The 24,134-nt window shown below is 42.1% G+C and overlaps 1 protein-coding gene, 2 long non-coding RNA genes and 1 pseudogene across 6 annotated transcripts in view, besides 3 other annotated features; 3 read left to right on the top strand and 1 right to left on the bottom strand.

The window, feature by feature from the left end:
- Nucleotides 1-7,172, bottom strand: part of ERCC4 (ERCC excision repair 4, endonuclease catalytic subunit) — a 32,195-nt gene extending 25,023 nt beyond the window's left edge. The window contains exons 1-4 of one of the 2 annotated variants that reach the window (XM_011522424.4): nucleotides 6,954-7,172; nucleotides 5,115-5,295; nucleotides 1,035-1,172; nucleotides 570-765 (exon numbers count right to left, since the gene is read on the bottom strand). In XM_011522424.4, the coding sequence (XP_011520726.1) occupies nucleotides 570-765; nucleotides 1,035-1,172; nucleotides 5,115-5,295; nucleotides 6,954-7,160 (722 nt within the window). In that variant the 5' untranslated portion in view covers nucleotides 7,161-7,172. The remainder of the gene's footprint in view (nucleotides 1-569; nucleotides 766-1,034; nucleotides 1,173-5,114; nucleotides 5,296-6,953) is intronic. The other variant, NM_005236.3, reaches the window with a different exon arrangement.
- The window catches only part of LOC105371093 (uncharacterized), a 43,766-nt gene continuing 20,344 nt past the window's right edge, over nucleotides 713-24,134 (top strand). Inside the window, exons 1-3 of one of the 3 annotated variants that reach the window (XR_007064998.1) lie at nucleotides 713-801; nucleotides 2,506-2,650; nucleotides 4,469-4,552. This is a non-coding gene — a long non-coding RNA (uncharacterized LOC105371093). Of the gene's footprint in view, nucleotides 802-2,505; nucleotides 2,651-4,468; nucleotides 4,553-18,597; nucleotides 18,776-20,843; nucleotides 21,560-24,134 lie in introns of those variants that run through there. The other 2 variants (XR_007064999.1, XR_007065000.1) reach the window with 2 other exon arrangements.
- On the top strand, nucleotides 4,625-5,063 carry RPS26P52 (ribosomal protein S26 pseudogene 52; annotated as a pseudogene).
- Nucleotides 6,719-6,928: an enhancer, noted in NCBI's record as "active region_10487". NCBI's record gives its function as "activates an Ori minimal core promoter by ATAC-STARR-seq in GM12878 lymphoblastoid cells {active_cell/tissue: GM12878}" and the evidence as "EXISTENCE:reporter gene assay evidence [ECO:0000049][PMID:35858748]".
- Nucleotides 6,969-7,328: an enhancer, noted in NCBI's record as "active region_10486". NCBI's record gives its function as "activates an Ori minimal core promoter by ATAC-STARR-seq in GM12878 lymphoblastoid cells {active_cell/tissue: GM12878}" and the evidence as "EXISTENCE:reporter gene assay evidence [ECO:0000049][PMID:35858748]".
- LOC124903647 (uncharacterized) lies at nucleotides 7,248-7,861 on the top strand. Its single transcript, XR_007065001.1, has 2 exons — nucleotides 7,248-7,647; nucleotides 7,743-7,861. It is a non-coding gene; the product is annotated as an uncharacterized LOC124903647 (long non-coding RNA).
- Nucleotides 7,539-7,588: an enhancer, noted in NCBI's record as "active region_10485". NCBI's record gives its function as "activates an Ori minimal core promoter by ATAC-STARR-seq in GM12878 lymphoblastoid cells {active_cell/tissue: GM12878}" and the evidence as "EXISTENCE:reporter gene assay evidence [ECO:0000049][PMID:35858748]".

Genomic DNA, 24,134 nt, shown 5'->3' with positions numbered 1-24,134 from the left:
TGGCCTCCCAAAGCGCTGGGATTACAGGCGTAAGCCACTGCACCCGGTGTACAACTACTCTCAAAATAACATATATTATAACCAAAATACATGGTAGCATAGGTTGCAAAAATGTTTGAAAACTGAAACCTTAATGTTATTCCTAGAAATTAATAAAACTTCTTCAAAACCTTTGTGCTTTATTTCCCTGTTGAGTAATTTTCAAAGCAGAAGTGGTAATGTTAGCCAATAAATCTGCTGTACACCTAAAGCTGTTGTATATGTGGGTCTCTAGATCCCTGGGAGTTTCCCTAAATGTGTAAGAAAGAATAAAGTGGCTGTCTTGGATGGATGTGATGGACCAGCAGAAAAGCAACCATCAAATTGCTCTCGACTTAAATAAAACCACAAACTTGGTGAATACATATTTATAGCTGGATGTGTTTGTTATAAAACTGACTAGGTTCTATCAAACAAAATTACAATGAATTTTACATTATATTACATCAAAGTGCAACTAAGTTACAGTAGATCTCACAAACAAAGATGACAAATAATGTCATCATTATTTGTCACATAATGTTCTTTACCTTGGCCACAGATACAGTTTCCTCACAAAAAGATTTCTCATCACTCTTTCCACATGACAAAAACCAGTATCAAAGGCAACAGCATTGTCTGTGAAAGCTTTAATAAAACCACGTTTGTTTTTCTGGCGAAAGAGGCGCAAGATGAATGCTTCTTGACAAGACTCGATTATTCTGTGGGCTCTATACACCAAGATGCCTGAGGGGGAGAAACATAATTTAAACTACAGAACAGGTAGGTAATTGCCATTCATTCATCACATTTTTCTTAAGTACTTACAAGAGAATGAATAAGCACCATTCTAGACTGGGCATATAGCCACGCACAGAACAGAGATAAATCCCTGTCCTCAAGGAATTGACTATAAACAATATAAATACGTAAAATATTTAGGATGCTACAAGTGCTGAGAAGAAAAAATGAATCAGAGAAGGAGGAGAGGGAGTATGTATGAGGGGTGGTCTCACCAAGGTGGTATCTGAATAAAGGCTGGATGGAGCCTTGTGACCATCTGGGCCAAGAGAGTTCCAGGCTGCCAGGCTGAGGGGACAGTGAGGGCACAGGCCCTGGGGTGGGGTGTTTCTGGCATGTCAGAGGAAGAATTTCTGAAAGCAAAGTAGGTCATGAATTTTTTTTTTTTAATGTATGAATCAGATGTGGACTATACAAAATAGCCACATTTTAGAAGTCTGGGCAACATCTACATTACCTATGAGATGAATTCAATTTTCAGAATCAGAAGATAGTCAATTCAGAGGTAAATTAGTCCATTTAAAACAAAAACCTTCAATCGACATACTTATACATGTCTTTGGGGGTGTACATGATTATAACACCTCAGCATCTCAAAAATAAGAACAATTATACATGCTTTGTTATTTATGAAATGAGACTACTGACCCAGATCTTTCATATATATTGTGTCATCTGATGCAGTGTGATTAGTGCTAAGTTAGGGAGAAACATGAGATGACATAAAGGCATACAGACATGCTTTCTAGATCAAAACCACAATTACTCCAAGACGAGTCTGTCTTTTAGACCTAAATCAAGCTGGTTACCTTATATATATTTGGCATAATGGTACTTGCATGCTTTTGATCCAGTTCTCATATCTGGAAGGGTATGGACAATAATACTAACAGTGATTTATGACCCTTCTAATAGTTCAATAAACTAAACTCAGATTTTACTATTTTAATGTTTAAGTTTTGGATAGAGGTGGATGGAGCTAAATTTACTCTAGCTCAGCAAATTATCTTCCAAATATAGTAAAAATTAATAATGTTATTTAGGAATTCATAGACAAAGGATTTTCAATAACCCCCCCAATACACGTACATAACTAATTTACTACTCAGAAAATATTCTGTACCTAATTGGTGGGTTTTCCCAAGGACTCTAAGAGGCCACATTTTGTTAGCCTGGATTGAAATATTACGTAGAGTCAAGAATAATAAAAATGAACTTCCAAAGAAAAGGAGAAACTCAATTTAAGAAAATGTTGCGCTCCAAAAAGTTGTCTTTATTTTGGTTGGAACCCAGGAGGAAGAAGAGAACTGATACTACATCCCAGGTAACTGGGTTAGGTGTTTCTATAGATTTTCATTTCATTTAATTGTTATGATAATTCCATGCAGTAGGTATCATGATGAGACCAAGGAAGGGAAGCAACTTAACCAAGGTCATCCAGCAAGCAAGTGGGAGGCCGAAGGTTCCAAATCATGTGTAAAATCATGTTATTCCTATTTAGTCACACCAACTCAAGACACTCCTTTTTCAAAAAATAAAAATAATAGAAGCAGGTTAGGTTTTTGGGAGGAGTTTTAGCTCCACAAAAGCCTACTTTAGTTTTTTTTGTTCCTATGACATTTTGTACCCATACTGTACTATAACTACTTCTTTACTTGTCTCCTCCATTAAACTGCCCGAGAACAGGAACATCGTAACACCAACAGGCAGAGATCACAGAGATCATAGAATGCTGACTATGTGCCATGCTACCAAGTATTTTACATATAAGCATTTCATTTCACCCTGACAATCCTAGGAGGAAGGTACTATCTTTATCACCAATGTACGGGTGAGTAAGCTGAGGCATAGAGAAATTAAGAAACTTGCCTAAAAATACACAGCTGGTGCAAGATGAAGATAACTCAAACCCAGAAGCAGTCTAACTCACGAGTTCACCATACTGTCCCATTCATCTGTCTATCTTCAGCACCCTTCCTGCCAAACAAGGGACCCTTAGTGAGTTAAATATTTGTTGAATGAATATAAAGTGGAGGCACAGCACTGGGTACACAAATCAAAAGTGTAACTGAAAAATACATATATATTTCCCAGAAAGTGTGTTCTTAGTTCTGTCTGGAGATGTCAGGGTCAGTTTTGGCAATGAAAGCATCCTCCTGTCCTGTTCTTTTCAAGGTACAACCTCACCAGATATTTATATAGTTCTCCCACGTGTTAGGAGTTCTGGTTAGCAGGGATTCCCAGGGTGGGGTGTGGTGGTAATAATGGGTGGTGACAGGTGAAGAAGTTGGGGCTGGGGGATTCAGCCTTTCCAGAGGGTTACCTGCACTTCACGCACTGCTCTTTGGTCAGTCCTGGGGGATGATCCCAGGGGATGAAAGAATTCAAAAGAATTCATTTTTGGCATTCATTTACATTCCACTCAGCCAAGCATCAGTAACAGCTCCAGCTTCATTATTCGGTGGGCTTTGATCAGAAAGGAGGAGGGAATTTGGCATTTTTCATTAGGAGCTACAGATAAGCCAGACTTCAACGTTGCATAAATTCACATTGCTCTCTGCCTAATTAGGTTGCACTGTAACTGAAAGTCACAGGATATTACTGACACCTAGTGGTAGTTTTAAACACAACAAAAAAATTTTTTTAAATCAATTTAAAAAATAAAGTAAAACCAAGCTTATAAGAAAGCAGCAAACAGTAAAAGACTGGTGTATCAAGATTTCTGGTTACAAAAGGCCAATTTTATTTGGTATGAATTACTAAGAGTTTGTTGTGTACCAGGCACTATACTAAGAAATTATTTTATTAACTTAATCCTTATAATAACTTCAGGAAGCACTGTTTTCTTAATGAGAAAACTGGGGTTAATGAAAATTAAGGAGTTTGCTTTGTAAGCAGGGTGTTAGCATTCAAAACCAGGTGAGCCTATGATACTGTTTATAACAATTATAAAAGTTATAAAAGAGTAACCAAACTTCTTCAGTCGGTTTACCATTGAAGCATTCATTGACACATTTATTTATCAAATTTTTCTTGAGGGTCATCTAGGTTCAGGGCAACATGACAGATACAGTGGGAATAAGATTATGAATTTCAGAGTCTCTCTGCCTCCAGAAGTTCACTAACGATCACAGTACTATATCCATCCATCATTCACCCAACAAATACGTCTTTAGTGCCTACCATGTACCAGTTATTTAGCCTGGGATGAACAACTTGTTCCTTGTGCTTCAGCTTATCTTGTGAGTGAGATAGACAAACACATAAATATAATGTAGTGTTGTGAGCACTATGACTGGGGAGAAATACAGGGTAATATGAGGGCACAGAGGCACAGCCCCTACATTAGCTTTGGGGACATCAGAAAAGGTTTTGAAAGGATAATGAAAATGAATTTCTTTTCTATTTAATTCTAGCTAAAATAATTTTTCCTCAAAATAAGCAAGCAACTACTTGATTTAATTTCAAATAATGCCAAAAAAATCTTAAGGAGGAAAACTAAATATTTTAGGAAATATACAAAGATTATTTATAAACATTTCAAATCTGATTAAGTTCTAAAAGCAAATGCTAACGAATTGCAAGTATTTACTGAATAAGAGCTTAGAAAACAATGAAAAGTTAATCTAACATTTAGTTACTTATTCAGGTCACAGATATTTACTGAGCATCTACAATGTGTCAGGTATCATGCTGAAAGTTGGAAGCATAATGTTGAACAAAAGGATCCAGTAGTGCCCACTAGAAGGTTCTAGTAGAGCGTTCAGCAGAGGAGACAGACAAAAATAAAAATGTAGAAAATACCCTCTCCGGTCCGTGCCTCCAAGATGACAAAGAAAAGAAAGGACAACGGTCATGCCAAAAAGGGCTGCGGCCATGTGCAGCCTATTTGCTGCACGAACTGTGCCTGATGTGTGCCCAAGGATAAAGCCATTAAGAAATTCGTCATTCAAAACACAGTGGAGGCCACAGCAGTCAGGGACATTTCTGAAGCGAGCATCTTCGACGCCTATGTGCTTCCCAAGATGTATGTGAAGCTAAATTACTGTGTGAGTTGTGCAATTCACAACAAAGTAGTCAGGAATCGATCTTGTGAAGCCTGCAAGGACCGAACACCCCCACCCAGATTTAGACCTGTGGGTGCTGCCCCACGACCCCTACCAAAGGTGATGTAGGGAGCTGAGTCCTTCAAGACTGAAGACAGACTATTCTCTGGAGAAAAATAAAATGGAAATTGTACTTAAAAAAAAAAAAGTACAAATTTACATACTAATAATAAGATTTCAAATTCTTACCAGTAATTAAATCTGAAGGTATTCTATCAGTCAAGAAGTCAACCACAAGTATCCTACTTGTCGCAAATATAACACCACCTTGTGTGTAAACTTCATAGCGACTGTTGCTTGTGATTTCATTTGTTACACGGCGAGGGAGGTGTTCAACTCCTTCTATCTTCAGCTGATTGATAAAATACTCCTAAATCAAATCAAACTTGATTAGTAGGCTATTTAATACAGGGCAGTTTTTAATAGGTCACAGATATTTAAAATAATGTGCTGTCTTTCTCTGAGATAATGAACTTAATAATGAATATACACACTAAGTTACTTCTTTATAGTAACTTCAGCCAACCAGTCTACATTTAATGAGGTTTTCTTGTTTTGGGGTTTACACTAAGGAATAATTGCACTTCAGTCATTATCAGCACTCAACTACAATAACATATGCACACACATACAAAACCTCAAACTTTTAAAAGCCTGGATTAAAAGATTTCTGCTACCTAGAAAATACTTCCCACCAAAGCCAGGTTTGTAGCCAAGCACATTCTATGAGATGATAACAAGGGAATCCTTTCCCCAGACAATGTTTTAGACTATCAGTTCTGTGCTAATCTATCCTAGAGGGACTTCATGTCACTGGGTCCCTTGGCTTGGTTTATTTATATCCCCAGTTTAAAACCATCTTTACTAGGCCCTGTGTGTTGCCTTAGGCCCTATGCCAAGCACTGGGGATACCTAGATGAATCAAACAGGATCCCTGCCCTCAAAGAGACTGTGGTCACTCTTCTCAGCTGACATTTTTCTCCCGGCCACCTGATATATCTAGGGGATCATCAGACTTGTCCGACCAAGCTGTGTCCCCTCTCAACACCCCTCAGACCCATGTGTAGCCCCATTCCATCTTTCTCAGTGTTCTCCATTGTCCTTAACTGTAGTTAACCTTTGCCAACATCCTCAGCGTCAAGCTCCAATCCCTTTCTGACCCTATGGCCCTCTTAACACAGCCTTGGTGAATGTCCTATTTCCTGGTCCCTCCTTTTCCCTATTGGGGTTTTTCCAGCGCCTCAGCATCTCCTTTCATGTCTCCCCATCACCCTCAGAGATCTTCCATCCTCATCACTGTTCCCTTTCAGGGACCTTCCTTCTGCCCCCAGAAACTCCCTTAATGGCCAACTTCAGGACTCTCCCGTTATTCCTATCCAGATCCTCCTTCCGACATCTCCCCCTCCCCTGCAGCGACCTCCGATCCTCTCCTACCACTCAGAGCCCCTTCACCTTTCAGTGCCCTTGCACCCATGTCAGGGACCTGCATCCTTCTGGGGACCCCTCCCATCCCTCTTAGTGTTGTCAGGGAATTGCATCCTTCTCGGGACCCCTTCCATCATTCTCACTGTGCCTGCACAGTGTCAGGGACCCGCATCCCCTGGGGACCCCTCCCATTTCTCTTAGTGTTCTTGAACTCTGGTCAAAGACTTGCATCCTTCTTGGGACCCCTCCCTTCCCTCTCAGAGTCCCCGCACAGTGTCAGGGACTGGCATTCCTCTTAGTGTTCTTCAACTCCTGCCAGGGACCTGCAGCCTTCTCGGGGCCCCTCCAATTCTTATCAGTGTCCCCGCACGGTGTGAGCGACCGGTATCCTCCTAGCGACCCCTTACATACGTCTGTGTTCCCGCAGTGTGAGGGACCTGCATCCCCCTGGGGACCCCTGCCATCCTTCTCTGTGTCATCGCGTAGTGTCAGGGGCCTGAATCCCCCTCAGAGCCCCTCCATCCCTGTCAGAGGCCTCGCATCCGCTCAGGAGGCCCTCAACACTCTCGGAGTCCCCTCACTCCCGCGCCAGCGCGGCCGCACCTCCTCGGCCGGCTGCGTGTTGAGCACCAGCACCAGGCAGGCTGGGTGGCAGTGCAGCTGGAGAAAGTGGTAGAGGAGCCGGTCCGCGCCGAGCCCGCGGGCGCACACTACTAGCCCGTCAGTGTCGAGCAGTTCCAGCACCAGCTGTCGCTCGTACTCCAGCAGCGGCGCCATGGCAATCCGTCGAGCCGGCTGCCCTGACTCCATGGAAGCTCTTCCGGGTCGCAGCCGAACGCAGCCGAAGGAAGCCGACTCCTAGTGGAGAGTAGGCCGAACTCAACCGAAGAGAGCCGAGTCCGAGAGGACGGCAGCCAGCCGAACGTAGCCGAGGAGAGCTGAGACTGAGATGATCGTGGGCCGAACGCAGCCGAAGAGGAGCCGAGGCCACGACAGGCGCGCTCTCAGAAAGCCGAAGAGAGCCGAGCCTGAGAAGGCAAGCGTTGGCCGAACTCAGCCGAAGAAGAGCCGAGTGGAGCCGAAGATTCATGGAGTCACCTGTAGGGGCTGGCGCCCCCTGTCGGTGTAGCTTGCAGATATCAGGCTCCATTCACGTCTCTTTTGAGTTTCCACATCCCCTGGCACCCTAGCCTCAAGCTGCCAAAAAGCAAGGGAAGGGGAAGTAAGCCTAAGGAGCTTAATCCCCCGACATCGACAGTTGAAAAAGTTACTGGTCAATATTCCAAATGCGCCAAGAGTTAGTAGCACCTGTTTCCTAGGGTGGTTTTTGGCCCTTCCTTTTGCGATTACTCCCCATCCTTCTTTTAATTTTTTTTTTCTTTCCCGAGACAGGATGTTGATATGTTGCCCAGGCTGGAGTGCAGTGGCTGTGGAATAAGCAGAATCATTTACTGACTTCAGACCTCTGTTTGCCTCCCAAAGACTTCAATACAATAAACTATTTTTAAAAATCCCTCCTTCCACTAGAGGGACACCTCCCGCAGTGTTTGTTCTATACCTAGAAATGCCTGATAGTTGAACTAGTAGAGGAATTGTTTTGTATAGAAACCCCCCACCTTTGTTATTAGAAAATAGAAAATACAAGTAAACAAAAATGAAAATCACTTGTTTCCATTACTTGGAAATAACCACTGTTAACATCACGAAATCTATTTTATTTAGTCCTTTTTTTTCTATCTATATACACATTCTCTCATCACACGGAGTTCTTTTACCGACACGAGATAATTAATATCCCTGATTTAAATCCCCAGCTTTGTCATTAACATTTGGCAAACCTCTGAACATGATGTTTCATATTCTTTTACAAAGTCCTTTTATATGGCTGATGAGATTTCCATTATGTGGGTGTACTTACCTAATTGCTTATTAGAGGACATTTAGTCTGTTTCTGCTTTTTCCCTTCCAGTAATATAAATAATATTTCACTAAACATCTTTGTATGTAAATTCAGCCGTGGCCTTCAGATACACGTCTAGAAATGAATAATCACTGGGATAAAGAGAAAAAAATTTGTAAGGCTTTTCATTCCATTCACATTGCCACATTGCCCTCTAGAAAGCCTATACCAATTCACATTCACACTAGCCGTTTCCAAGAGGATCTGTTCCTCTACCTCTTTACTGCTTAATCTGGTATTTTGCTTACATTTTGTCAAGATGAAAATAGCATATAATTCCTGAATGCTGTTTAAGTGGAAAGGGTTGCCGGCAGACACTTTACATACAGCGTTTCCTCTGAGGCAGATATTAATCTCGTCAGTTCTGCCAGTGAGAAAAATGGAGGTGCAGGGAGGTTATATAACTTGGGCAAGGCCACGGGAGCTAGTTAGTGTATTTCTTAGATCTATTTCAGGACGTGATATGGGGGTACTCAACACATATTTAGGAAATGAAGATTGAAATGACAAAGCTGAAATTCAAACCTGACTCCCAAGCGGTGGTAGGCAGAATATCGGCTTCCCAAAGATGTTCATATCCTAATCCCTGGAGCCTGTAGGTTGTTTTATGTGGCAAAGGGGGGTTTGCAGATGTGAGTATGTTAAGGTTCTTGAGATGGGGGGATTATATGGATTATCCAGGTGGGCTCAATGTATCACAAATGTGCTTATAAGAGAAAGAGAGAGGTAGGAGGGTCAGATTCAGAGATGTGACAGGAGGCCGAGTTCAGAGTGATGTGGAACGGGCACTGAACCAAGGAATGCAGCCCTTACAAGCTGAAAAAGGCAAGGAAATGGATTCTCCCCTAGGGCTCCCGGGAGGACTGCAGCTCTATCCACCCATTTTGGACTTCCGACCCCCAGAACTGGAAGATAATGAATTTGTGTTAAGTCCGTTTGATCAGATGACGTCCCAAGCTGATCAAAACAAAATAAAATTTAAAAACTATACATAGGGCCGGACGCGGTGGCTCACGCCTGTAATCCCAGCACTTTGTGAAGCCGAGGCAGGCGGATCACCTGAGGTCGGGAGTTCGAGACCAGCCTGACCAACATGGTGGAACCCCGTCTCTACTAAAAATACAAAAATTAGCCAGGCGTGGTGGCGCATGCCTGTAATCTCAGCTAAGGCTGAGGCAGGAGAATCGCTTGAACCCAGGAGGCAGAGGTTGCGGTGAGCCGAGATGGCGCCATTGCACTCCAGCCTGGGCAACAAAAGCGAAATTCCGTCTCAAAAAAACCAACCAACCAACCAAACAAACAAAAACTATACATAGGAGTATACAGTGAAACAATCTTTTTGGAAGGCGATTGGTCAATCTACACAGAAATTTTAAATACATGTATAGATACATATACACATACAGTCATCTGGTGAATGTTTATGGGGCACCCAATGTGTCAGGCACTGCTCTAAGCTCTGGGAGCTTACTAGTGGGCAAAGCGGGCATAGAACTTATATTCTAGTGGGGAGCTTGTATATGAAGATGTGTATTCATTATATCATTGTGTGGACTATTGTTATTTCTTGGATATTTCTCCTAAATGTCCAAGAATAGGAGAGTAGTTAAAATTTCTTTGTGCATCTCTGATAGGTAGAATATTAGCCATGAAAACCTGTATGTGGAAAGATACTCAATATGTATTATTGTATACTGAAAAAAGCAGTTGCAAAACAGTAATGTATAGTATGGTCCCATTTGTATAAAAACAAAACGGTAAATGGTATGTGCATAGAAAAGTCCTAGAATAAACAGATCTTAACCACAGCAATTACTTCTGGGGAGCTGACATAAGTAGTGGGTTTCAGGATTAGACCTTTGTATTTCAGTATATGCCCTTCTGCTCTGTTTGACTTTCTTATCATGAACTTATATTGCTTTTATAATAAAAATGAAAGAAAAAAACTTCCCAGCTACTGTATAAATACTTCATCAGCACTAAAAAATATCACCTTGTGAATTCTAGATTTAAATGTGTGTGGTGGGCAACATTTAATGTCAAATGTTGGTATCTGGGGAAGTAGACTTTTATAAATTGTGACAGGTTGTGGCTACACATTTTATTTTTGTCCCTGGGTAAAAGCTTTCAATCTGAGGTGAAGATTTTTTTTTTTTTTTTTTTTTTTTTTTTGAGACAGGGTCTCACCCTGTCGCCCAGGCTGGAGTGCAGTGGCATGAACTTGGCTCACTGCAACCTCGGCCTCCTGGGTTCAAACAATTCTCGTGCCTCAGCCTCCTGAGTAGCTGGGATTACAGGCACACACCACTATGTCCAGCTAATTTTGTATTATTAGTAGAGTTGGGGCTTCGCCATGTTGGCCAGGCTGGTCTTGAACTCCTGACTTCAAGTAATCTGCCTGCCTCAGCCTCCCAAAGTGCTGAGATTACAGGCATGAGCCACCACTTCCAGCCTAAAGTTTGTTCTTTATATCTCTTATGGTTTTTGATGTCCTTTCTGCTTTAAATTATCTCCAATGAGGATTTTAATTATTCTATTAGAATTTAAATTTCCTCATTATTCTTTTCTTAATTTGGCTTTTTGTTCTGCATTTCTGTCTTTACCTTTATAGCTCCCTACTTTTGTTTCATAGAAGCTTCTTGATTTTATGTTTATTTCTCTATCTATCTCTACATAGATTTAGATATATGCAGATTTTCTATATATCTACCTAGATATATTTAGATATAAATACACATTATCTTTACCTAAACTATAGATATAGATAGATAGAAACTTACAGTTGGCCCTCTGTGGGTTCTGCATCTGTGGATCCAACCAACTGTGGTTTGAAAATATCGAAAAGAAAAACCAATTAAAAAATAACAATACAGCAACAAAATAATTTATAAAATTAGAAAAGTTAAATTTTATTTGAGGTTTTCCCAATATTCTACTTAAAATTTGATACTTTTGTCCTAATCCATAACATATAGGGATTTAAGAACATAAAGCATAAATTTGGATATTTACACATTTGTTTAGTGAAGAGCTCTCAAGCAAAGCAATGCTTCATCGCAGTTGTCCTGCCTCTCCCTACTTTTCTCTGGAACAGAGAATTTTAAGGGCATCATCACCAGAACTTTATAGACATACAAATATCTATGCTCATACATCAGACTTATAGCAAGACTCTTGTAAAAGTGGAATGACTTCATATAAGATGTATGCAGCTTTCCAAATGCTGTTTGTTTCTAAGTGTTCCTATATAGAAATATGAGAGGTGCCTATTTTTACAGTCTTAGAAGGCACACACATTTCAGGCGCCAGGAGTGAGAAACACCTGCTGGTGTAGGAAGAGCCAGAGATACTCTATTTAGATATTAGACCAGCTATCAATATTCCACAAGAGCGCCTGTGCTGAGAATTGGTGAGTTTCTGCCCTCAGACTCCCTGCTGCATGATTCTCAGCAGTCGTAACTCCCTCTGGTTGCTGGCATTGCCGGCTGAGCATGCTGAATTTAAAGAATTTAAGTACTAAATATAATATTTACACATCTGGAGGAATTCTGCCAATATGCACTAAATGACTGTGAACCAGAAGTCCCTCTGAATCCACTGCTTTGGCATGGCTCAGTGTCTGCAGTGGCTGCGTGCTCTAGGGGACAGAACATGGCCTTTAGTCACGTAGACCTGGACTGAGGTCCAGCATTGCCCGAATAATCACTTGGCCTTGGTAAGTCACAAAGCCCATCATTTATTAAACAATGTGTCTTAGGTGGCGGGTGCTCATGCCTGTAATCCCAGCACTTTGGGAGGCCAAGGCAGATGGATCACTTGAAGTCAGGAGTTCAAGACCAGCCTGGCCAACATAGTGAAACCCTGCCTCTACCAAAAAATACAAGAATTAGCCCAGCATGGTGGCGTGCACCTGTAGTCCCAGCTACTCAGGAGGATGAGGTAGGTGAATTGCTTGAACCCCGGCGGGGCAGAGGTTGCAGTGAGCTGAGATTTCACCACTGCACTTCAGCCTGGGTGACAGAGTGAGACACTGTCTCAAACAAACAAACAAAAAAACAAGAACCCAATTGTCTTAAGTCATATTCCCCAGAAGCAGAGCCTGAGAATTCCTGTGTGTATCAGCCAGGGTTCAATCAGAGAAACAGATCTACAAGGAGTAATATGGAATAAGGGATTGATTACAGGGTTGTGGCCTAAAGCAATGATGGGAGATGGTTGAATTGTTTATGGTCATTGCTTCTGTGTTTGGTGCTGGGCTTGAAGTCAGCAGGGCAGGCAGACAGGAAAGAAAGATGGGTGTAGAATAGAGGAGAGGAGGAAGAACTGAATCCTATGGGGATGAGCTGGAACTCACATTGGTTTCTTAACCACTTGCATGCTTCCGACTTCCATGATGTGGAGTCTCTTGTAGGGGAAGGTGGTGCCCGTCATCATGGGTTTAGACACTCACCTTGGCCAGGAAGCAGAGTTGAGGAAGGAGGAGAAACTAAAAGGGGAGAGGCTGAAGGGGGAGGGCTGTCAGGAGATGGAGTAGCTGTGGACCTGCTCACCACCCCTCACCAACCAGGTAAGCCTGGGAACCAATGACAATATAGATGAGTTGCAACACTGCGTACTGCTCACCTGCTTTTGGATGCTGCTTCACTCTTGCCCTCCCCATTGGATGCTAAATTCTCCTGTGGCCAAACCTAATCCAGAACTGTATAGGGAAGGGAATTCTAGGTTATGTGGTTCCAGCTTGGTTAAGTGGACATGGTGAGGTAAGAGGCGAGACTCAACTCAGGAGGTGGGACTCAACTCTGTAGGTGGGACTCAGACACCGGACCAAATTGAGGACTAGCTAAAACAGGGATGGGGTGGAAGCAGCTTTCCATAAGATATGTCCACCAGTGTGCCATGTCAGCTTACCATTGCCATGGCAACACCCAGAAGTCACTGCCCTTTTCCATGGCAACAACCTGGTAACCTGGAATTACCACCCTTGTCTAGAAATTTCTGCATAAACTGCCACTTAATTTTCATATAATGAAAAGTGGGTATAAATATGACTGCAGAACTAGGTATTCTGGGCACACTGCCTACAGGATAGCCCTGCTCAGCGAGGAGCAGTCCCTCTGCTGCTGCTCTGAACTGCTGCTTTAATAAAAGCTGCTGTCCAATATCACCAGCTCGCCCTTGAACTCTTTCCTGGGTGAAGCCAAGAACCCTCCTGGGATAAGCCCCAGTTGTGGGGCTTGCCTGTCTTGCATCAATAGTGCAAATCACTGTGCTGTGCAAGTGATTTAGGAAGGGAGGGATCTCAGGAGAAACTGGTAAGGAAGTGGGGGAAGCAGAACAGGAAAGGGAAAGAAGCCAAGCAAGGTGTGATTTTGGGCAAAGCCTAGGCTTATCCCACGGGTTCAAGGGTCGAAGTTACCTCTCATAGTTATCCTGCCCTGAGGCAAGGGAGCTGGGCTTTCATAAACTTGCACCGTCAGTTATTTTCTACTGGCCCAGGGGTGGGGAGTAAAATCCCAGGCACATTTTATTCTCTGCAAATACAGGCACAGCAGCTCCTCTGGAGGAGTGGCAGGGGCAGGTTTTAGGAAGCAAAAGCAAGCTGCAGCCAAGCTAGCTGAGTGTCATGGACACATGGGTTGGTTTCATACCTTGGCTATTGTTAATAGTGCTACAGTGAACATGGGAATGCAGATGTCTCTTTGACAAAATAATTTCAGATCTTTTGGGTAAATATCCAGAAGTGGGATTGCTGAATCGTATGGCACTTTTATTTTCAGTTGTTTGAGGAATCTCCTTATAGTTTTCCATATGGCTATACTAATTTACATTCCTACCAATAGTGTACAAGGATTCTCTTTTCCCCACATCCTTGCTAACACTTGTTACCTTTTGTCTTTTTTATAATAGCCATTCTGACAGGTGTGAGATGATCTCATTGTGGTTTTAATTTGCATTTCCCTAGTGATTAGTGATGTTGAGCATTTTTTTTTTCATATATTTGTTGGCCATTTGTATGTCTTCTTTTGAGAAATGCCTATTTGGGTTGCTTGCCCATTATTCATTTTTAGTTTTAGTTTTTGAGACAGGGTCTTGCTCTGTCAGCCAGGCTGGAGTGGAGTGGCATGATCATGGCTCACTACAGCTTCAAGCTCCTGGGCTCAAGCGATCCTCCCACCTCATTCTCCCAGGTAGCTGGGACTACAGGTGCATGCCACCATGCCCAGCTAATTTTTCTATTGTTTTTGTAGAGGTGGGGTTTCACAATGTTGCCCAGGCTGGCCTTGAACTCGCGGGTTCAAGTGATCTGCCCATCTTGGCCTCCCGAAGTGTTGGGATTATAGGTGTGAGCCACCTTGCCCAGCCTTGCTCATTTTTCAATTTTGCCTGTTTGTTTTCTTGCTATTGACTTGTCCAACTATCTTCTATATTTTAGATATTAACTCCTTATTGGAGTATGGCTGGCAGACATTTCCTTTTAATCCATAGGTTGTCTTTACATATTGTTAATTGTTTGCTGTGAAGAAACTTTGGTTTGATGTAATTCCATTTGTCTATTTTTGCTTTTGTTGCCTGTGGGGTCAAATAAAAAAAAGTCACTGCCTATACCAATGTTATATAGTTTTTCTTCTGTATTTTCTTCTAGTAGTTTTACAGTTTCTGGTCTTACGTTTAAGTCTAATCCATTTTGAGTTGATTTTTATATATGGATATGAGATAAGGGTCCAATTTTATTTTTTTTATATGTGGATATCCTATTTTCCCAACAGCATTTGTTAAAGAAACAATCCTTTCCCTATTGTGTATCCATGGCACCTTTGTTGAAAATTGACTATACATGCATAGGATCATTTCTGGGCTCTCTATTCTGCTCCACTGGTTGGTGTATCTGTTTTGTTTTGTTTTGTTTTTGCCAATACCATGCTGTTTTGATTACTATAGCTTTGTAGCATAGTTTGAAATCACATAGTGTGATAACTTCAGCTTTGTTCTTTCTGCTCATAATTGCCTTGGCTGTTGAGGGATTTTTTTTTTTGTGTGTGTGGTTCATCATGGAATTAAATTAATGTAATCCATGTAGAACATTCAGCACAGTTCCTGACAAGACTAAGTACTCAACAAATAGTGGCTCTATCTAACTGTAATATTGGAAATTGAGGCTCGTAACTGAGGGTTATATAAGCTGATAAGCTTTACCCAGTAAGTCAGGACTCAAACTCCTAGTCCGGGGCTCTTTCTAAAATTGTTCTGCCTCCCCAGATATTCTCCAACTATTCATTTACTATCCTTTTACTACATTGCTACTTTTGACTTGCTAATATTTTATGAAGGGTTTTTACATTTGTTTTCCTAAGTGAAGTGGGGTTTGAGTTTTCTTGTATGTGCTATGTTTATTTGAATTAGATGTCAAGATTACAATAATTTTGCAATGGGAGTCAGGTAGCTTTTTATTTTTACTGTTGAAGAGGGAATCTATTGTTTAAGGATTTGGGAGAACTTGTCTGTCAAACTCTATGGGCCTGGGGCCTTTTTCTCTTTCTTTCTCTCTTTCTCTTGTGATAGACCTTTGACTACTATTGAAATTTCTTTTATGGTAATTAGTTTCTAACTTTTTTATTTTGTCTTGGGCCACCTTACATAAATACATCTGGAAACTGCATTTCGTTTAGGATTTAAAATTTAATAGCACATAAAGTCCATTGTAATCTCTTTTGATTTTTAAATCATGGCAATGCCCACTGGTATGTCATCCTTTACATTGCTAATATTGTTTACTTGTCACTTCTTTGTTTTTCTGAATCAAAATTGCTGAGAGTTGTCTATTTTATGTATCTTTTCAAAGACCCAGCTTGTGTCTTTGTAGGTCAATTCTAGCACTTTTTATATTTAATTTCTATTTTTATTTTTTTTTCAGTGATCTTTGGCTCTATTTTGTTGTTCTTTTTCTAAGCTCTTCAGGTGAATGTTTAGTTCACTCTTTTCTCAATTTTTAAATATGCAATTCTAGTATATTAAGGTATGTGGTTATAAACATCCGTCCAAATACCACTTTGTCTATATCACACACAGTGCTTTCACTGTCATTTGGTTCTAAATATTTTGTAGTTGCTACTTTGATTTCTTGTTTAACCCATTAAATAAAAAGAGCATTTTTAGGTCTTTTTTTTTTTTTTTTTTTTTTTTAGACGAAGTCTTGCTCTGTCACCCAGGCTGGAGTGCAGTGGCACGATTTCGGCTCCTGAGTTTGCGCCACTGCACTCCAGCCTGGATGACAGAGCAACGTCTGCCTCCTGGGTTCAAGCAATTTTTACCTGCCTCAACCTCCTGAGCAGCTGGGATTACAGGCGTGCACCACTACCCCAGATAATTTTTGTATTTTTAGTACAGATGGGGTTTTACCGTGTTGCCCAGGCTGGTCTTGAACTCCTGACCTCAAGTGATCCACCCGCCTCAGCCTCCCAAAGTGCTGGGATCACAGGCATGAGCCACCAAGCCCAGATGGTGTTTTTAGGTTTCTAAATGTATGGAGGCTAGATAATATTGTTTTTTGGTAGATTTATAATTTTATTACACTGTAATCAATATGAGATCAATTTTTATGAAATTTATTAAGGCTTCCTTTGTGGCTTAAACACACGGGCTTTTTGTGGGTACATATTTTATGTGTATTTGAAAAGAATGTATAAACTGTTGGGCTTTGAAAATCTTTTATGCCTTGACAAGAGTTTTCAGTTTCTGAGCATGGTGTGTTACAATCCGTTCTGACTATGGCTGAAAGTACAGATAAGCAGAGTCAACAGTTCTGCAAAAACATTTGAATGGCAAAACCCCAATGATTCCTCACTTAAGAAGAATGTGAAAGCCCTGGACTTTTGTACTGGTGGTTGTGGCACTGCCAGGTGGCTCGATTCTGCACAATGACATTTCCTTGGCTGAGAAGCCCGTGCATTATCCAGAAAGAAGGGCATGTACTTGCCAGCCAGACACAAGCTGATTGGATGGAGGCATTTAGACAGTCAGCCACTATTTCTTTTACTCCCAAGAACAGGCTTTTGCTCTGCTCACTCTTCTGTGGGTAAATGAAACCTCTGGTGGCAGACTTCCATACTTCTAGTCTTGCCTATTGGCAGCCTTTCCTGGGTATTTTGCCGGGTACTCACTCATTGCTATTAATTTTGTGACCAATCTGCTTCCCACTTCTACTCCAGCCCTGTTTCTGTTGAACAATTTGTCTTTTTTCCCCTCCAAAATCTGTCCTTGATAAAGTCCAATCCATTGAACATTTGCAAGTATTGTTACCTTTATGCATACTTTAAGATACAATTTGTGGGCTGGGAGTGTTGGCTCATGCCTGTAATCCCAGAACTTTGGGAGGCCAGGGCAGGCAGATCACTTGAGGCCAGGAGTTCAAGACCAGCCTGGTCAAGATGATGAAACCCCGTCTTTACTAAAAATACAAAAAAATTAGCTGGACATGGTCATGGGTACCTGTAGTCCTGGTTACTTGGGAGGGTGAGGCAGAAGAATCGTTTGAACCTGGGAGGCATAGGTTGCAGTGAGCCGAGATTGTGCCACTGCACTCCAGCGTGGGTGACAGAGCCAGACTCCATCTCAAAAATAAAATGAAATAAAATAAAATAAAATAAAATTTGTTAAAATTCCAATGTGCTGGGGTTGCATTCGTGTTCTTAAATCAGGCTCTGCAGTTTACTATTGCCATGTTCATTAATAAGCGGATTTTAAAAAACATTTTAAATAATAATATTAAAATACTAATATTTTACTATTTTTATTTAAAGTGTACAATTTGGTAAGTTTTGACATATGTGTACATTTTGAAACCATCACCAAAACTCATGAATGTAGGCAATACCCTCCAAACGTGTCCTCGTGCCCTTGTAACCTCTCCCCGTATGAGTGCCTGACACTGGTCCCACTAATTCTTCAGCCTGGTTCTTCCCTGGCCTTGAGCTAACCCTAATATGCACGCATCCATCAGTCCACAGCTGATTTCCCAGGGAACCACTCCAACCTTCTCTCTCAGGCCACGCTCTTTCCTACAGGACTGTTTTCTGCCTTGGTCTTCCCTAATTTGCAGATCCATCTCCTTGACACAGGGCATCTCCTGGGCATTCCGTCCCTGGAAACTCTAGTTAGAAAGCTGGAGCAATCACAGTTTGGGCTCACCTTATTTGTTTTCCACCCTGAGACCCCTGTCCTTCATTGCCTGAAGTCTACTGCCTTGAAACTGCCATTTCACACACTTTGCCGGTATTTTTGTTGTTTCAGGTGTGAGGGTAAATCTGGCCCCCGTTCCTCCATCTTGGCTGGAAGTGGAAGTCCCGGTGGATATTTTTGAGCCCCTGATGTATGCCAGGCACTGCTGTAAGCACTGAGTATTCAAAGATGAACAAAATGATGTGGCCCCAGTCTCCTAAAATTTACTATCAAGAGAAGAAGACAACAGGTAAATAAATACACAAAATTATTATAGATGGTCATGAATGCTAAGAAGTAACCATGGACCAACATGAGAATAATGGGGACAGGAGTTGCTGCACACTAACAGGTGAGGTAAAGTCTGAAGAAGCAGCCAGTCATATGAGGAGGAGGAGGACAAGCCTCCTAGTCATGGAGAACAACTGTGCAAAGGACGTGGAAAGCTTGGCATGCTCTAGGCACAGATGGAAGGTCAGTGTGCCTGGGAGATGTAGGATGACATGGCGTTGGAGAGGAGGGTAAGATCCAGGTCATGGGAGCCTATGAGGCCATCCTAGAGTCTGGGCTGACTTCTAAGCACAATGGAAAGTCACGGAAAGTTTTAAGGAGGAGCACTCCATGATCTAATTTAATTATAGGAAGGTTGCCCAGGCATAATGGCTCATGCCTCTAATCCCCGTTCTTTGGGAAGCTGAGATGGGAGGACTGCTTGAGGCCAGAAGTTCAAGACCAGCTGGGCAACATTGCAAGACCCTGTGTCTATCTTATTAAAAAGAAATAATTGTAGAAGGGTCAGTCTGACTATTGGTGGAGAATGAGTTAGATGGGACAAAAAATAGATCCAAGGGGACCAGACAGGAAGCTGATATATGATTCAGCTGACAGATGATGGTAGACTTGAAAAAGGCAATGCTATGGAGGGATGAGAAGGGAATGGACCTGAGATATATCTGGGAGAACAGTAGACAGATTTCTTGATAGATGGGATGTGAGAGGAGGAGGGGAGGAAAGGAAGCATTAAGAATGACTCCTAGGTTTTCGACTAAAGCAACCATGTGGTTGGTGGTGCCTTTGGTGGGGATGAGGAAGGCTAGTGAGGGGTTGGACATGAGCTGGAGGCTGGAGAACAGGTTTGGGATGGGAAATCAGTAGGTTCATTTAGAATCACGAGTTTCATACAGGAAACCACTGAAAAGTGGAACAATGGAGACATTATAACCAGGAGCAGTGTCTTCTGAGTCTCTGTTGCCTTATCTGTAAATGTGGAATAATAATACCTTCCTCCTCGTTGTTGTAAGGAATGAATGAGGAAATATGCTGAGCATCACTGCATGGCTGCTCAAAAAAGTAAATTTCCTTATACAATTAAAGCAAGCTCTAGGCAAAACCATTAACTAGGTCAGTGGCTCCCAGAATTTGAGTTTATAGACTGAGACAGTAACTTAAAACAATGGATACAACTATGGGTGGCTGCCAAATTCTTATTTTGCCAAGGTAGGACATTAGATAAACAACTACTAACCATGATCATCATCACTTCATAAAAGAAATGACGTTCTAATACCAAAAAAATGTAGGAAGGTTATTTGTTATTTTCAGCTTAACAATAATAAAGGGTAATATGTCAACCTCTATCTATTTTCTTTTTCTTTCTCTCTCTCTCTCTCTCTCTCTCTCTCTCTCTCTCTCTCTCCCTCTCTCTCTCTCTCTCCCTTCCTTTTTTTCTCTTCTTTCTTACAGGATCTCACTATGTTGTCCAGGCTGGTCTCAAATTGCTGGCCTCAAATGATCTTCCCACCGCAGCCTCCCGAGTATCTGGGATTAGAGGTATACCCCGCCATGCCTGGCTATACTGTCAACTTAGCTTTCTAATGACCACTTCCTGTTTCATTTTCCCCTCGCACCACAGGGCAGTGAACAGTATCATGAGCAGGCATTGGGTACCTGGGTGCCTTTTGAGGAACCACTGAACTGAGCAGCAGCTGAATTCAGCCTCCTCTCCTTCACTTGTTTGCATCCCTGATTCCTCTCTACGTTTTTCTCCCTGGTTTGCAAGGATTATGTTGTCCTTTCATCCCTCCTGATGGCATCTATGGATGGTATCCCATTGTGGTTGTCACTATTTCCCATCATCCCCCTCTTCCGGGCCACCTAAAAGCCTACATTTTCCAGCTCCCCGCAGTTGACAAAACCATGTGACTATTCTGGCCAATAGGATGGGAGTACAAGCATTATGTCACTCAGAGGTGGAAGCATTTAAGGGCCAGCATGTGAGTCTCTGTGATGTTTTCTTTTTTTTCTCCCTCCATCCATAGTGAAGCATCTGTTGAAATGGAGGTGCCACAGATGGAAGCAACCATGGCACGGAGGGCAGCTTCCCCAGAAAACTGCCCAGACTCACAGAGGTCTTTGTGGGAGGAAGGAATAAACCTATGTAAAGCTCCCGAGATTTTTGCATTGCTTATTACTGCAGCATCACTTGGTCTGCTCCAGCCAACGGCAGCATCAAGATGTGTTTGACTTGAGCAAACTTAACATCTGATTTTGATAAATATCAGTCTGAAAAGAAAACAATTCCTGCTTTTCAATTTTTAATTTTTTAAAAAACTGAAATTATCTTGCATTTGCCTCCGTTTGACCCCTACTGGGATGCTAGGTTGAATTCTTTGTTGATGATTTAAATTAAAATCTCATAACACTAGGATGGAAAACAATCAGATATCCCCCAGTGCCCTTTATTACTGACCAGATTGCCTTTAAAGCTGCTTTCTTTCTGGGCATTCTCAGAGAATCTGGATAAATGACTTATCTCTCGCATTTTCCTCAGGGTCTTGTTATTCTTTTAAAACTTCTGTTATATACAGTGCTAGGTAAACACAGCATAATATGTTGTTTTGGGTTATGCTCAAACAGCGAAATTGACGGTTCTCTAGTTAACTGGATCCAAGCAAGAAGCCAAGCCCACTTATTTGGATATCTTTAAAAGTAAATTGTTGATTACTACTCATTTGTTCTTAAGGCATTTGTGGTTCATCTGCTGAACACTTTTCTCTGGTGAAAAAAAAAAAAGATGAAAGATGGCAGGTATGTGTAGGGACCAGCCCCACAGGGTTGTGGGTCTCTCCTCGTGTGTGGCGACGAGAGAGTGTAGAGATAAAGACACAAGACAAAGAGATAAAAGAAAAGACAGCTGGGCCCGGGGGACCACTACCACCAATGCGCAGAGACCAGTAGTGGCCCTGAATGTCTGGCTGTGCTGTTATTTATTGGATACAAAGCGAAAGGGGCAGGGTAAAGAGTGTGAATCATCTCCAATGATGGGTAAGGTCATGTGGGTCATGTGTCCACTGGACAAGGGGCCCTTCCCTGCCTGGCAGCCGAGGCAGAGAGGGAGAGGAGACAGAGAGAAAGACAGCTTATGCCATTATTTCTGCGTATCAGAGACTTTTAGTACTTTTACTAATTGACTACTGCTATCTAGAAGGCAGAGCCAGGTGTACAGGATGGAACATGAAGGCGGACTAGGAGCGTGACCACTGAAGCACAGCATCACAGGGAGATGGTTAGGCCTCCGGATAACTGCGGGCAAGCCTGACTAATGTCAGGCCCTCCACAAGAGGTGGAGGAGCAGAGTCTTCTCTAAACTCCACCAGGGAAAGGGAGCCTCCCTTTCCCGGTCTGCTAAGTAGCAGGTGTTGTTTCTTGACACTTTTCACTACCGCTAGACCACGGTCCGCCTGGCAACGGGCAGTCTTCCTTGACGCTGGCGTCACCACTAGACCAAAGAGCCCTCTGGTGGCCCTGTCTGGGCATAACAGAAGGCTCGCACTCTTGTCTTCTGGTCACTTCTCACTGTGTCACCTCAGCTCCTATCTCTGTATGGCCTGGTTTTTCCTAGGTTATGATTATATAGCTAGGATTAATATTGGAATAAAGAGTAATTGCTACCAACTAATGAGTAATGATATTCATATATAATCATATCTAAGATCTTTATCTGGTATAACTATTTTTGTTTTACATTTTATTATACTGGAACAGCTCGTGTCCTCGGTCTCTTGCCTCGGCGCCTGGGTGGCTTGCCGCCCACAGGTATGTGCCTGCATTTTGGGATGCCTTGGAGACATGCAAAGGACTTTGGGTTTTATTCTGAAGGCAACAGCTGCAGCCTCACATTCTCATAACTATAGTTCACTGGAAAGAGAATGCCTTTTCCCATTTGTTTGGTGCAAGTTCTGAGAGTCACCCTAATTGGACTTACCTGAGTTGGCTACCCATATTGCATCATTCTGGGTAGAGGAATAGAATCATGCTGATTGGCCAGGACAGAGTCACATGCTCAGTTTTGTACCAATCAATAAGGGCAGGAGTCAGCAAACCACAGGCTATGGGCAGGTTGTCTATTTTTGTTAATAAAGTTTTATTGAAACATGGCTACACCCATTTATTTAAAGTAATGACTATGGTTTCTTTGCCACTACAGTAGCAGAAGTGAGCAGGTGTAACAGAGATCATATGATATGTTGGGCTCTGTGTTCCCACCCAAATCTCATCTTGAATTGTAATCTTCATGTGTCAAGGGAGGGGCCTGTAGTCCCCACGGGTAGAAGGAGGGAGGTGATTGCATCATAGGAGTGGTTCCCCCATGCTGTTCTCATGATAGTGAGCAAGTTCTTACAAGAGCTGATGGTTTTATAAGGGGGTCTTTCCACTTCACTTTCTCTTCTCTCTCACCTGCCACCATGTAAGATGTGCCTGCTTCCCTTTCCGCCATGATTGTAAGTTTCCTGAGGCCTCTACAGCCTGGCGGAACTGTGAGTCAATTAAACCTCCTTTGTTTGTAAATTATCCACTCTCGGTAGTATCTTTATAGCAGTGTGAAAATGGACTAATACTCTATGTGACCCACAAAGTCTGAATTATTTATCGTCTGACCCTTTACAGAAAAAACTCTGCCAACCCCAGGGCCAGGAGTGTTATTAGTTTGCTGGGGCTGCCATAGCAAACAACCACAGACCAGGTGAACTAAGCAAGAGAAATTTGTTTTCTGACAATTCTGGAGGCTAGACATCTGAGATAAAGGTATAGGCAGGGTTGATTTCTCCGGAGCGTTCTCTCCTCTACATATGGATGGCCGTGTTCTCCCTGTGTCTTCATATAGTCCTCCCTCTGTGTATGTCTGTGTCTTTATCTCTTCTTCTTATAAAGATACTCGTCATCAGTTTACAACCCACTCTAACGACCTCATTTAAAATTAATTACCTATGTAAAGACCCAGTCTCCAAATATAGTCACATATTGACGTCTCAGTGGTTAGGAAGTCAACACGTGACTTTGGAGGGGGACTTAATTTAGCCCCCAACAAAGGGATGATGGGGTCTGATTGGCCATGGCTGGGTAGCAAGTTCCACTGGGGCTGAGTGAGGGGAGGTCATTTTTAAGTAGAAACCAGGATATTTTCTCTAAAATACAGTAAAACAGATGCTGGGTGGCAAAAGAATTTGTCCAGTGACATTACTATTGCTTTGGGGGCTCCAGAAGATGAAAGTGTATGGGCTGATTAGAAAGAATGCTAAAGAAAAAAATTCATGTTTGACAGTGGGATG

This window comes from Homo sapiens, chromosome 16, assembly GCF_000001405.40.
Source record: "Homo sapiens chromosome 16, GRCh38.p14 Primary Assembly".
NCBI lineage: Eukaryota > Metazoa > Chordata > Mammalia > Primates > Hominidae > Homo > Homo sapiens.
Note: the sequence above shows the minus strand (reverse complement) of the source record. Positions and strands in the feature narration are given on the sequence as shown.